Below are 14,649 nucleotides of genomic sequence, written 5' to 3' on the forward strand. Positions count from 1 at the left end.
CATTGACCATTCTGAAAATACTAGAGCCCTTAAGAATTATGCTAAACCTAATCTGCTTGTGCTCTCAAAATGGAACAACAGTGCCTGGATGACAGCACATCTCTTTAAAGCATAGTTTACTAAATATTTTAAGCCCATTGTTGAGACCTACTGCTCAGAAAAAAAAGATTCCTTTCAAAATACTACTGCTCATTGATAACGTCAGTGGTCACCCAAGAGCTGTGACAGACATGCACAAGATGAATGTCGTTTTCATGCCTGCCAACACAGCATTCATTCTGCAGCTCATGGATCAAGGAGTAATTTCAACTTTCAAGTCCTAATATTTAAGAAATATGTTCCATAAGGCTGTAGATTGTGATTCCTCTGATGGATTGGGGCAAAGTAAATTGAAAACTGTCTGGAAAGGATTTGCCATTTTACATGCCACTAAGAACATTTGTGATTCATGAGAGGAGGTCAAAATAAAAGACTAACAGGGGTTTGGAAGAAGTTTATTCCAACCCTCATGGATGACTTTGAGGAGTTCAAGACGTCAATAGAGGAAGTAACTGCTGATGTGGCAGAGATAGCAAGAGAACTACAATTAGAAGTGGAGCCTGAAGATGTGACTGAATTACTACAACCTCATAAAACTGAAACAGGTGACATGTTGCTTCTTATGGAGGAGCCAAGAAAGTATTTTCTTGAGATGGAATCTACTCCTGGTGATCCTAATGAAGGTGCTGTGCACATTGCTGAAATCACAACAAAGAATTCAGAATACTGCATAAACTTCGTTGATAAAGCAATGGTGTTGTGCCAAACCCCTATTAACCTCAATAGGCAAGTCACCTGTTCAAGAAGCTGAAGATGACAGCCAGAGCCAGCAAATGAGATGTTGGGTTTATTAGGGGATTACTTACAAGGGAGGTTCAGTAGCAGAGAGCTGGACAGGGGAGCCGCCTTACATACAGAAATGGTACAGTGGTGGTGGGCTGGACAGGAAGGCCACAAAAGTTTGCAAACAGTATGCAGTTTACACTGCATTTTCACTTAATACCCTCCCCTTAATGACCTCCACCTGGCAACCTCTATTTAATGGAAAACTCAGGGTCTCAATCCCCTGTATGGCCCATGTTCCATGGGATGGGACAAGGACTCAGATGTTCCTCACAGGCAAGGAATGAATCTCCAGGTTGGCCACTCCCAGATTCCCTAGCTCAGAACACATTCAGGTGCATCTACCACACACGGTCATCCTCGGGGTGTGTTTCAGTTAATGCTATCAGGTGCATTTACCACACAAACAGCAGAGTTGAAGAGGATTGACTCCAGTTTTGAAAGAAATTCTACTCTGAGTTCAATGCTATCAAACAGCATCACGTGATACAGAGGAATATTTCATGAAAGGAAGAGTTCATCAATGCAGCAAACTTCATTGTTGTCTTATTTTAAGAAACTGCCTCAGCCATCATAAACCTTTAGCAACCATCATCTTGACCAGTTAGTGGCCATCAACATTGAGGCCAGACCCTCCACCAGCAAAAAGATGAAGACTCGAGAAGGGCTCAGATGATTGTTAGCATATTTTAGCAATAAAGTATTTTTAAATTAAGGTACGTACATTTTAGACATAATGTTATTGCACACTTAATAGACTACAGTGTAGCATAAACACAATTTTTATATGCACTGGGAAACCAAAAAATGTGTGTGACTTGCTTTATTGTAACATTCTCTTTATTGTAGTCATCTGAAACCAGACCCTCAATATCTCTGAGGCGTATGACTATACTAAACAGAGGCCGATAATAAATTAACAAATATTTGTGGTGAACTCCTTCCATGCAATAGAAAGCATAGGTACCTCTTCCTGGACATCTTTTCCATCCCAGCCACTGTACAACATGTCCTTCACACAACACTGCTAATCCTTTTACCGTTCTGCAAGGAAGATGTATTATATCATCTCCATCTTACAGATGAGAAAAATGAGGATCCAAGAGGTGCAATGATTTGCCCAATGCCACACAGAGAGCAAGAGAAGCAAGCAAGCAAGGTTCAAATCTAGGTTTGTCTGGTAGGCAAAGCAGTGAGTAAATGTATAGGACCATGTAATTAAATCACAATAAAATAAATTATTCTTATTAATTGACAGTAGAGTGGTATCATTTAGAAATGTTGTAAATGTTCAGAGAAATAAGTAAGTGTGTGGGCTGGATGTCTTTATGATATTTTATTTTGAGCCCTTTTATAGATAAGGATGACATGAAGAACCACCAATTATTGAGCTCTTACCGTTTGCTTGGTTTTGCAGTAGATACTTGAGATAGAAGATTGAATGAGATATAATCTCTGCCTTCAAGAAGCTTATAGCCTATGAAAGGGGAAAGACAAGTAAATGGACGGTTAAAATTTGGTATAATAAGATTATAGGTAACATTTGTGGGACATTTATTCTCTTCCCAGCTCTATTCTAAGTGTTTAACATGCATCTGTGCCTTGGTCCTCACATCAGACCTAAGAGGAGGTGCTATTTTAATCTTCATTTTACAGACGAAAAAAAAATGTGCAGAGCAAGTTTATCTTGCCCAGAGCCACATTGCCAGGAAGTGGCAGAGTAACTCCACACTCTCAGCTGTTAAATGTATTATCATCCCAATAATATATGGAAGAACCCCAGTTAGCACAGACGTTGCAGCAGCACAAAGGTAAGGCACATCACCAAGACCACAGAGTAGCCAGGAGTGCCTCACAACGGGAGAAATACCTGAGCAGAAACCTAGAAAAGAGTGTGTTCACAGCAAATTCAATGACTTAAGGGAAAATGAGGATAATAATCTTATTTGTCTCTTGAGATTGCTATATATATTAAGTGGGATAAATTAGGTAAAACCCTTAGCTCAATGACTGACCATTAGTAAGCACTCAGTACATATGAGCTCCCATCCCCATCATCAACACCATCCCTAGGCTGACTAAGAGCCCTGCTGGTGGAGGGAGTGGTGAGAGATTCAAGTATGTGATGACAGGGGAGGTAAGATTTACAGGTGGACTGAATTGAGTAGAAGGCATAGGATCAAGTGGGATGGAAGCAGGTGAATTTAATCTGGATTTCTCAAAGCAGAGTGGTTAAAAAAAAACAATTGGGAAGATTTTTTTAATTGCAGTTTTTGGGGTTCCATAGCAAACAAATAAATGAAAAAACTCTGAGAAGTGCAATACAAGAATATGCATGTTGAAAACAGGCCAGGTATGAGATTAGGGAACTGCTGAAGTGTATGACCTTTAAGGTTCTTTCTAAGCATGACATTCTGTGACTCCAACCTGACCTGACATTTGATCGGTATCCAGAAGTTGGGAAAGAAGCATATAAGTGGAAAAGAGAGAGGCAAGCCCATCAGAGCGCATCAGAGGCAGGGTCAATGACATTCTGACATAGTCACTGTGGCATGGGATCATTTTGATGCTGCCTAAAACAGAAGGCATCACATGTTATCTAAAAATTACACACCAAAAAATCTGTCATATTCACCCCAATGCTAAGCTTCAACCCATGCCTGCTACTCAACTCAGTCCACCTATGTATCTTATCTCCCCTCCCACCACATACATGAATCTTTCACCACTCTCGACTCTCATGCTCTCCCTGAACTTCCTGTGGCTCCTGAGTCATGCCTGTGGCAACGGTGCAAGGGAGACTTAGGGATGGAGTGTGTCCCAGTTTCTCTGTTACACACAATCCTTAGGAATTACACATAGTATTTTTATGTCTGACAGAGCAAAAATAAAATATCAGTATTCCCAGCCTTACCTTCCTTTGTCCTGTTGTGCAAATTCTGTCTTTGATAGCTTGTTGCTTCCTGGGGTTGAGGAGGTGGAGAATCCAGGCAAGGCTTGAGAGAGGCAATATTTAAAAATGAATAAATAAAAAGGCCTTAATTTTAAGGTCAGCTCCTGGTCTGAGAGATACTGGGTTTGAGAGAACTAAAGAAATATTATTTTAATAAAGGTGGATAGGATTTTCAGATTTTTATCTGCCTTGACATTATTCAAGAGATTCCAATAAAGATCTGAATTGTGTAAATTACTTTTGATTGATAGCTTATATTTTTTTGAAGGCAACACTGAACAAGTACTAGAATATGTCGAGCACCAGCTTTTATTTCGGTTACATGCATTTTGACATAGCCAGTTTGATGAGATCAGATCTAAATGACTTGCCTAAAAGTCCCATGAGCCCAGGCTCATGGAATGGGTTCTTTTTTCAAATCGCAAGCTAGATCTTCATAACCTACACAGCTCCAACTGGTGTATTTCCACAAGGAAGAGGGTAATTTCTACTTAGTTATAGCAGTTAATTTGCCTAAAGACACAGGTGTCAACTGTATTTCCATTTAATTTCAAATTTAATGGAAACCTGGGTCTTGTGCCATCTCAAGTGTTCATCACCTCCCCAGTTTAAGGGCATTTGCTAAAAATGTCTGGCCTCAGTTTAACTATGTTCTCCGTAGAAGTTAATATAAATATATTAAAGTGACTGCTCTGAGGTATAAACAGGTGTCATGGATATTTCATAGCTGGCAATGAAGTTACTATGAGAATAAGCCAGAACTGGGTTCAAATCCTGGCTCTATAAGTTGTTAACTGCGAGATTGTAAGCATTTCTTATTTGCCCTAAGCTTCAGCTCTTGCAAAGTGAAGCCAGATAACAATATCTACCTCATGAGATTGTTGGGATGAAGAATGATTTGATTTTTATAAAGTCCTTAGTGCACAGAAACCATGCAAACAAAGAGTCTGAAAAACAAGCTTTGCATAAACATACAGAAAGAACGTACAAAAACTTCAACTCCCCAGTGGAAAAAAATTATAAATGTTGAAAACGTGATAGATGTGTCAAAAGTACATCAATCACCGTAAATTTGTGAAACATAAATTTTTATGTGACATATAATTTATTTTTCTGTTTATTATGTAAAAAATGTTAAAAATAACAAATTTTTCATGAAGAAAATAAAAAGATCAAAAATTCAACAGCTAATGGTGCTTCACCTGTTCCTCTTGTGGCCAAGTGTAAAATGCGTTCCTCAATCTCCCAGCCCCTCCCAAAGCATATTAATCATGTTTTATCTATGCCAATGTGGGACAGGCTAATCCAGGTGAATCTGGACAAAATATGTTAATTTCAGTTTCTATGTGTTTCTATGTAGGTCACAGATTCTGCTTGAATTCTAGCTTCCCCAGCCTAGGAAAGGAAAATCTGAGCAAATTTACCAGTCACATCTTCAGTTCTTTACAACTAGTGAGTAATCACCTCACATTGTTAATGTCAACCATTATGCCACTCATTTTACCTAAAAAAAATGCAACTGTTCCCAACACAAATGATATGGGTTGGCTGTGTCCCCATACAAAATCTCATCTTGAATTGTAATATCCATAATCCGCACGTTTCAAGGGCAGGACCATGTCAAGGTCACTGGATCATGGGGGCGGTTTCCCCTATGCTGTTCTCATGATAGTGAGTGAGTCTCACAAGATCTGATGGTCTTATAACCACCTGACACTTCCCCTGCTTTCACTCACTTCGTCCTGCTGCCCTGTGAAGATGCCTGCTTCTCCTTTGCCTTTGTCATGATTGTAAGCTTCCTGAGGCCTCCCCAGTCGTAGAGAACTGTGAGTCAATTAAACTTCTTCCCTTTGTAAATTACTCAGTCTCAGGTATTTCCTCATAGCAGTGTGGGAACGGACTAATATAGTAACAAAGAAATGATAAATGTTTGAGATGATGGATATGCTAATTACCCTATTCTGATCACTTTAAGTACCAAAACATTACTACATACCCCATGAATATGTACAATTATTAGGTTGGTGCAAAGGTAGTTAAGGTTTTTGTTTACCTTTGTTTTTTTTTTTTTTGATATGGGGTCTTGCTCTGTTGCCCAGGCTGGAGTGCAGTGGTGCAGCTCACTACAAGCTCCACCTCCCAGGTTCACGCCATTCTCCTGCCTCAGCCTCCCGAGTAGCTGGGACTACAGGTGCCCACCACCACACCCGGCTAATTTTTTGTATTTTTAGTAGAGATGGGGTTTCACCGTGTTAGCCAGGATGGTCTCGGTCTCCTGACCTTGTGATCTGCCCGCCTCTGCCTCCCAAAGTGCTGGGATTACAAGCGTGCTGAGCCACCGTGCCCAGCCTTGTCTACCTTTAATGGCAAAAACTGCAATTACTTTTGCACCAACCTAATATTATTTGTCAATTAAAAAACAAAATAAACAATTTTAAAAATGCAACTGAAATATATATCCTCTACCTTTTTCTATTCCACCCTACAGAATAGAGTAGTAACCATGACCAGATATGTTATTTCATAGATAATGTACATAGTTAATAACCAGTGAGAAAATGGCCCATTGCTTATCTTGTTAATGAGGCTAGTCCACCTACATGGTTTAGTTGAGACATTTCCATCTTTTAGCATGATATAGGCAGCAGGTGAAGATATGAAATTTGTGGTCCAAAGGAATAGAAATTCCAGCTGGGTAATTCCAGGAGTTACTCAAGAGCCACAACCCAGTGAGAGAGCACGTGCATCTCTTTGGCCAGGACACAGAGCAGGCAAGCTCTTTTGTGGTGGAGATGATGCTCTGGACATAAGTTCAAAGCATCAGCAGAGAATCTGGCCTGAGTCCACTATGAATCCACCCTGGGGAACCTTCAGATAAATCGCTTTAGTCACTCTCAAGTCAGCAAGTAGAATCCAGGGGTTTTTATTCCCCTTACTTTTTTCCAGTGGAAGTGCAAAATACTCCCATGTCATGTGCAGCAGTATACGCTAAAACTTTCCACTGTGAGTGGAGAACCAACTCCTCTCACTCCCCACCAAAATTATTTTAATTGCATGGGTGTCACTCATTTGTCTTTATCTGTCTGTTACATTAACTAAACAGAGTCATTATTATTAATAAGTCCAGGCAATCTCTACTGTATTAGTCAGGGTTCTCTAAAGGGACAGAAGTAATAGGGTATATGTACATACGAAGGGGAGTTTATTAGGAGAATTGACTCACATAATCACGAGGTAAAGTCTCACGATAGGCCGTCTTCAAGTTGAAGAGCAAGGAAGCCAGTGGTGGATCAGTCTGAGTCCCAAAACCTCAAAAGTAGGGAAGCTGACAATGCAGCCTTCAGTCTGTGGCCAAAGGCCCGAGCGCTCCTGCCAAAACACTGGTGTAAGTTCAAGAGTCCAAAGGCTGAGGAACTTGGAGTCTGATGTTCCAGGGCAGGAAGCATCCAGCATGGGAGAAAGATGAAGGGAAGAGAGACAAGAAGGCAAGAAAGATGAAGGCAAGAGATGAAGGCAAAGAGTCAGCAAGTCTGCTCTTTCATCTTCTCCTGCCTGCTTTATTCTAGCTGTGCGGGCAGCTGATTAGGTGGCGCCCACCCAGATTGAGGGTGGGTCAGCGTCTCCAAGTCCACTGACTCAAATGTTAATCTTCTTTGGCAACACCCTCACAGACACACCCAGGAACAATACTTTACATCCTTCAATTCAAGCAAGTTGACATTCAATATTAACTATCGCATACACCAGTTGGTTATTTACATGAAATCTCAACTTAAAGGACTCCTCTAACTACTGACAAATATGCCTCGATTGGGTGAACACTACTTATTAGAAGAATTTACAAATGAGAAGCCCATGAGCAGGATGTAGCCCAAAGACATTTGAGTTATTCTACAGAGCTTTTAAAAATTTGACTTAGCTGCTATCTTGACGTTTTTAAATGGACTATTTCACCCAAATTTTGGATTCCCAGTTTTTCTTGGCAAAGCCAGACCCACAGTCTCAGAAGATGGCAATCAAATAGGACTGAATAGCAGCTGCCCACTTCAGACAGGGCACATCCTCTCCAATTTGGCACAGTCCCTACCATGCCACTTTACTCACTTATCTGCCAGCCCCCTGCAGACATCTGGGTTTGTGACTGCTGGAGTAAAGAATCTAGCAATTCCATGAGCCAAACTAGAAAAGCAGCAGTCCCCTCAAAGAACTCTCATTTAATACAATTTACATCTGTCTTGCTGTGCTGCTATTATTTTTGTATCTCTCACAGCACCGTGCCTTTCATAGAATAGGCGCCATATATTTTAGTCGAATAAATGAGTAAATTAAAGACCGCCGCTCATGTTCAGCAAAACCTCTCCTCCCTTGTTTTCAGCACTTCTTTTAATGAAGCCCAAGGTCATATTCGCTCTTTTGGCAATATTCAGCTGAAGCCCACCTCCCTTCTGCCACCCTGAAAATAAAACGCTGCAAATCACCTCTTTCAATCTATGGGCACACACCCAGGAACATCTTTCAAGCAGCAGAAGGGAATGTTTCCAGTTAAGTGATTTTAGCAGATTTCTCCAGCCTGGTTTAGGGGATGATCCCAACGACCCAGGGCTAAACCATCTCAGAATCTGCAATGCCTTTCGCCATCAGAGCATCTGGCTCTGCTGATTCAATCATCCGGAGGAGAGACATAATGTGAAGACCAGCACAGCCATCATACAACAACATACGCCAAGGATGCTGAATGAACATTTGGCATAAAGTCAATCACAGAAACTGCTTGGTGTGGAAGAGATGGAGGGAGGGAGGAAAAGGAGAGAAAGGAAATTAATATGGGAAGAGTCAAGCTCACTGCTAATGGGTGACATTTTCTCCCCTAGGAACTTTTAAATAAAGCCCTTAAGAGTTTCCCAAATGAGCAGACCGACTAACCCATTATGTTAACAGAAAATTAGAAATTACAAAGACGTTTATCTCCATTTGGCTAATGTGGGGTTGCATGCGCTGCTTGTTGCTGCTTATAAACTCCAGGCCCCACAGTTAGCTTTGACATTTCAACCATGTTTTCTCAGGCTCATGGGCACAGAAGGATTTCTGCCTACTTAGCATGGCAAGGTATACATCTGTCCTGTCTCTACCACCTTTCACTGCCCTTGCATTTGCACATGGCAAGGAAATCACATGGATAAAGGGATTAAAATGCAATAATTTAGGTAAGATAAAGGCTTCAAGAGGATCTGTTCTGAGCTGGCTCCTCTTATATATATATAACATTAACATTCATGGTGGTAGGCTTGCAGTATAAAATGCAGATCAAAAACTAAATATTTGCTGCATATTTTATTCTAAAGGCATTACGAACCAATCTCAGCAATTTGTATTCCCAAAATTTGACTACACTAATTTCTAGAAGCTTTCAGGAGATAGCCAAGACGTGAAAAGGTAACGCTTACACTTGGGGAGTTTACAACAATTTTGTTAGTAACTTGGAACACACTCAATGGAAACATTTAAATAGCATTACCAGGGCAATACATGAAGCATAAACGAAGAAAGGCTAATTCAGACAAGCGTGTGTATGAAACTTCTTATCTCTAAGCCAATGTGACATGTTTTCTTATTCAAAAGAAAATTAAAATGTAAATGCACTTCCTCTCTGTGCTAGGCACTTGTGCACATATTATCTTATGTAACCTGTTCGAACTCCCAGGAGGTGGGTATTTCTGCTTGTATAGATGAGAGAGCTGAATTTCAGAGAGGTAATCAATTTGCCAAGAGTCATCACAATAGCAAGAGCTAGAGCCAGGGTCTGAGCTGCTCTCTTATATCTCACTCCAGACTTCTCTGTACTACATCACCACCACATCCCAGTTCAAAGCTTTTCATTTTGAATGCAGGGAATTAAATTCCTCAAAGGTAGAGAGGCTGTCCAAGAGGGGATGTAAAACACGTTAACATGACCAATCTATCCCAATTTAGCAGAACCTCCCTGGCTTTAGCATGAAAATGCCACATCCTGGGAAAGCACTCAATCCTGGTTTTAAAAAGAACTGTTTTATGACTGAGACAATCCCTCAGTCCCAGGCAAACTGGGATGGTTACTCATGCTATCTGTGGTTTCCCAACATATATGGGGCAGAGTCAACCCTAATGTCTCTTCTTTAACATAATTAATTCCTCATGTCCCCACCTTAGCCCCCATATGATCCTCTCAGGCCTTGTTGTTTTACATGTAGCTGATGTTTGTCGATGTCTACTGAGTCAAATATAGATGAAATCCGTCTATAATTGATACGGTTTTGCTGTGTCCCCACTCAAATCTCAATTTGAATTGGAACTCCCACAATTCCCACACGTTGTGAGAGGAACCCAGTGCGAGGTGATTGAATTCTGGGGGCGGGTCTTTCCTGTGCTGTTCTCGTGATAGTGAACGAGTCTCACGAGATCTGATGGTTTTAAAAACGAGAGTTTCCCTGCACAAGCTCTCTTTTCGCCTGCCACCATCCATGTCAGATGTGACTTGCTCCTCTTTGCCTTCCATGATGATTGTGAGGCCTCCCCAGCCACATGGAACTGTGAGTCCCATTGAACCTCTTTCTTTTGTAAATTGCCCAGTCTTGGATATGTCTTTGTCAGCAGCATGAAAACAGACTAATACAATAATAAACATCAAGGGCAAACTTTAAAAGTTAAGGGAGACTCAGAAGTAGACTCTGTCCCTATGTCTTGGTGATGATGGAGGACTTGTGGGTTGATGGCACATTTATGAATATCACATCTCTTGCTTTTCCCCTCCCCAGCAGCAGCCTCCCCAAATCACTGTTCAGCTGCTAACACCATTTAGGCCCCATGTGGACTCCCAAAGGTCCAAAGGCTAGGGTAGATGCTCCAGCGACTGCACTAGACAAAACATCTATTGTCTCAAGCAATGTGCTAATAATTTAACATACATTGTCCTATTTAATCCTTGCAACATGATGCAGTTACTAGTATTATTCCCATCTAATGGATAAGTTAACTAATGCTTCCAAAAGTCAAGGGAATAAATCCAGAGCCCAAGCTCTTGGGCAAAATGACATGGTGTATCCCAAGTTATCATACAGTGATGGACATATTATGCCTAATAAGATGGCACCTCATCGATATCTGATGTCTTTGGGGTACCTTGATAACAGTTATTTTCTGATAATTGAGAGACTTTAGAGAGCCAAAGATTACATAAACAGACCTCTGTATAATTTAAGGTAGCTTAAGTTTGCCCCCTCCTTCTTTTGACTTCTGGAGCTTTGTGCTAGGGGCTTATAAATTTGAACTTGTACCAAACACTGTAGGCAATGTAAATATAGACAAAGCCATACTCCTTGGGTATAATATTCTTAACTACTGATAATTACAGAGAATTTATTGGAATTAGCCAAGACCTACAGGAAAGTACTTGTTTAAACACCTCTACTTTAGTTTAACCTTGGAAAACAGAATCAAGGAATTTTAGCAGTAGAGAGAATCTTGAAAATAATCTAGTTTGGTCATTATCTGACTTTGATCTGCAGAGCTTTGGGGCCCTGTTCAGTGCCTGACCAGCCAACAAGGCACCATCATCCCCAAGTAACAGGGACAAGAGAAAGTTGAATAGGGGCTCCTGCCCTGGCCATCTTCAATGAGTGCCGATGGCAGGAACAGTGAATTGGCCCAACCAGCACCCAGTCCTGGCTTCTAGCTGGCTTCCTGTTCTGCACTGGGCCTAGGTTTGGTCAAGCAGCACAGAGGCACAGTGAGCTACATAAAAAGACTGCTATGGCTAGGGGCTTAGATCTTCTGGCAAGGACAATGTCAGTATGATTTGGGAGAAGTGTGCAGACTTTCTGACCAGACCAGACCATAGTGGGATAGGTATCGAATGATGGGCAAGAATGACAACATTGATTCCAGCAGAAGAGGCACGTGGGATGTCAGGGGGTTTTCTCTGGGGGCTTATTCCCGGCTGGGCAACATCCATGTTCTCCAGCCCTTCCAGAGACCCTGTAGGCAAACTGGCACCTTTTAGTAAATATCTTCCTGCCCAATTAGCTAGAGTAGATTTGGTTGTTGTGACCAAGAACCTGGATAAATTTGCTGTTATGTCTTGAAATGGTTTTTCTCTTTCTCTTTTCCTTTTTTTTTTTTTTTTATATTTTTTGAGATGGGGGTCTCATTCTCTTGCCCAAGCTGGAGTACAGTGGCACGATCTCAGCTCACTACAATCTCTGCCTCTCAGATTAAAGTGATTCTCCTGCCTCAGCCACCCGAGTAGCTGGGAATACAGGCACATACCACCATGCTCAGCTACTTTTTGTATTTTTAAGTAGAGACAAGGTTCCACCATGTTGGCCAGGCCAGTCTTGAACTCCTGACCTCAAGTTATCCAACTGCCTTGGTTTCCCAAAGTGCTGAGATTACAGGCATGAGCCACCAGGACTGGCCTGATATGGTGTTTTCTTATGATTTAATTTAACCTAAAAGTTCTGGGGGGAAAGAAAGTATGAATATCACAGATACTTTCAGTGGTCTCATTCTACACATAAAGAACATAGAGGGTCAGAGATGGAAAGTGATGAGTGGTAAGATTGAATCTAGAATCCAGTTCTCACCAGAGGCTCACCAGGAAACATTCCAGAAAGTGACCTGGCAAACCACATCCCATATAACTGTCCTGCCATTAAGAATCAACCACGTGGTTGGCCGGGCCTGGTGGCTCACGCCTGTAATCCCAGCACTTTGGGAGGCCGAGGCAGGCAGATCACGAGGTCAGGAGATCGAGACCATCCTGGCTAACACGGTGAAACCCCGTCTCTTCTGAAAATACGAAAAAAAAAAAAGTAGCCTGGCGTGGTGGTGGGTGCCTGTAGTCCCAGCTACTCAGGAGGCTGAGGCAGAAGAATGGCGTGAACTCGGGAGGCGGAGCTTGCAGTGAGCTGAGATCGCGCCACTGCACTCCAGCCTGGGCGACAGAGAGAGATTCTGTCTCAAAAAAAAGAAAGAAAGAAAAAAAAAGAATCAACCACGTGGTCCATGGCTGGCCCTCTGCGCGCCCCTGTCAGAAAGCTCCAGTGTCATAAACAGAAAATTCATCACCTTTTACATATCAAACATTTTTAAATCCCCTACTGTTCACTTTCCAACATTACTTTGTGAATGTGACTGTTATTCTAATAAAATGTGAGCAGTAGTCCTCATGTTCCTCATTTTAGAAAGAAATAATATATCTGGGGACAGCTCCTTGGACACTACTTCAATCCATTTTGTTTTTTGAATTTAGAATCTTTTCCCCCAGTAGACATAGTATCAGTGTTGATATGTTCAAAACAGTGCAGGCCTTTCAGATTCTAGTATTATGGCATAGATAAAATCCGGGACTATAGATCACATCAGAGTTGAGAGCATGAGCTCTGGTATCAGATTGGTGATCCAGGGCACATGATCTAACTTCATTAAGGTCTCAGTGGCCTCTTCTGAAAAAAATGAGACTAATAAATAACATCTAACTGTCTCACGGGATTATTCTAAGAATTACATAGAATTCAAGCAGAAATTGCACCATGCCTAGCACACAGTTCATACTTAATTAGCCATTATTATTACTATTATTATTGAAACTAAAACTTACCTGTGATGGAAAAAATTCCACAGCAAATTGCTTCCTGCTTTCCAGCTCCAGATTCCTTCAGGAAGAACTGAAGCCTGAGAGGCAGAGGACTCTGGAACGTCTGGAGGGCATTTAGTCGTTTGTCCCATAGTCTGCTGGCAGTTCTGTTTTCTTCTCAGGCACTGAAGTGAAAGGGAGCAGGTGCAGTTGGCTGGTATAATTCTACACTAGACATCATCCACATGGCGCAGGCTGCCACAGTCTGTGGGAACCCCATTCTGGAAGTCTACCACTCACAGAGCCTTCCACTATCCCAGTATCATGATAAAATGGTCTACACATTCCGCCATTTGCAAAGTACTTCCCTGAACAGTTTGATTTGATCTGGAAACTGAGGAGGAAGGCCAGATGGATGCTTTTACTATGACTTCTCAGGGAGCATGTGAAAGCTGACAGACTGTCAATGGCACATTGAGAGGTACGTGGCTGGTAAGTGACACACTCAAATCTTCTGATTTTGGTTCAGAGCTCTCTCTCTCCAAATATACATATATATATATATATATATTTGCTTGTCTGTATATATATATATATATATATGCTTGTCTGGATATATATATGCATGTGTGTGTATATATATATATATATATAGAGAGAGAGAGAGGTACATGGCTGGCAAGTGACACACTCAAATCTTCTGACTTTGGTTCAGAGCTCTCTCTCTCCAAATATATATATATATATATACACACACACACACACACACACACACATATATACACACATATGTATACATATATACACACATATGTATACATATATACACAGATATAGGTATACATATACACATATACGTATACATATATACATATATGTATACACATATACGTATACATATATACATATATGTATACACATATACGTATACATATATACATATATGTATACACATATACGTATACATATATACATATATGTATACACATATACGTATACATATATACATATATGTATACACATATACGTATACATATATACATATATGTATACACATATACGTATACATATATACATATATGTATACACATATACGTATACATATATACATATATGTATACACATATACGTATACATATATACATATATGTATACACATATACGTATACATATATACATATATGTATACACATATACATATATA

At 40.8% G+C, this 14,649-nt stretch overlaps 1 long non-coding RNA gene across 1 annotated transcript in view; it reads right to left on the bottom strand.

The window, feature by feature from the left end:
• The window catches only part of LOC100130207 (uncharacterized), a 100,062-nt gene that overhangs the window by 74,631 nt on the left and 10,782 nt on the right, over window positions 1-14,649 (bottom strand). The window contains exons 2-5 of the long non-coding RNA NR_149025.1: window positions 13,470-13,630; window positions 7,059-7,257; window positions 3,797-3,878; window positions 2,281-2,359 (exon numbers count right to left, since the gene is read on the bottom strand). This is a non-coding gene — a long non-coding RNA (uncharacterized LOC100130207). The remainder of the gene's footprint in view (window positions 1-2,280; window positions 2,360-3,796; window positions 3,879-7,058; window positions 7,258-13,469; window positions 13,631-14,649) is intronic.

Source organism: Homo sapiens, chromosome 3 (assembly GCF_000001405.40).
Source record: "Homo sapiens chromosome 3, GRCh38.p14 Primary Assembly".
In the NCBI taxonomy this organism is placed as follows: Eukaryota; Metazoa; Chordata; class Mammalia; order Primates; family Hominidae; genus Homo; species Homo sapiens.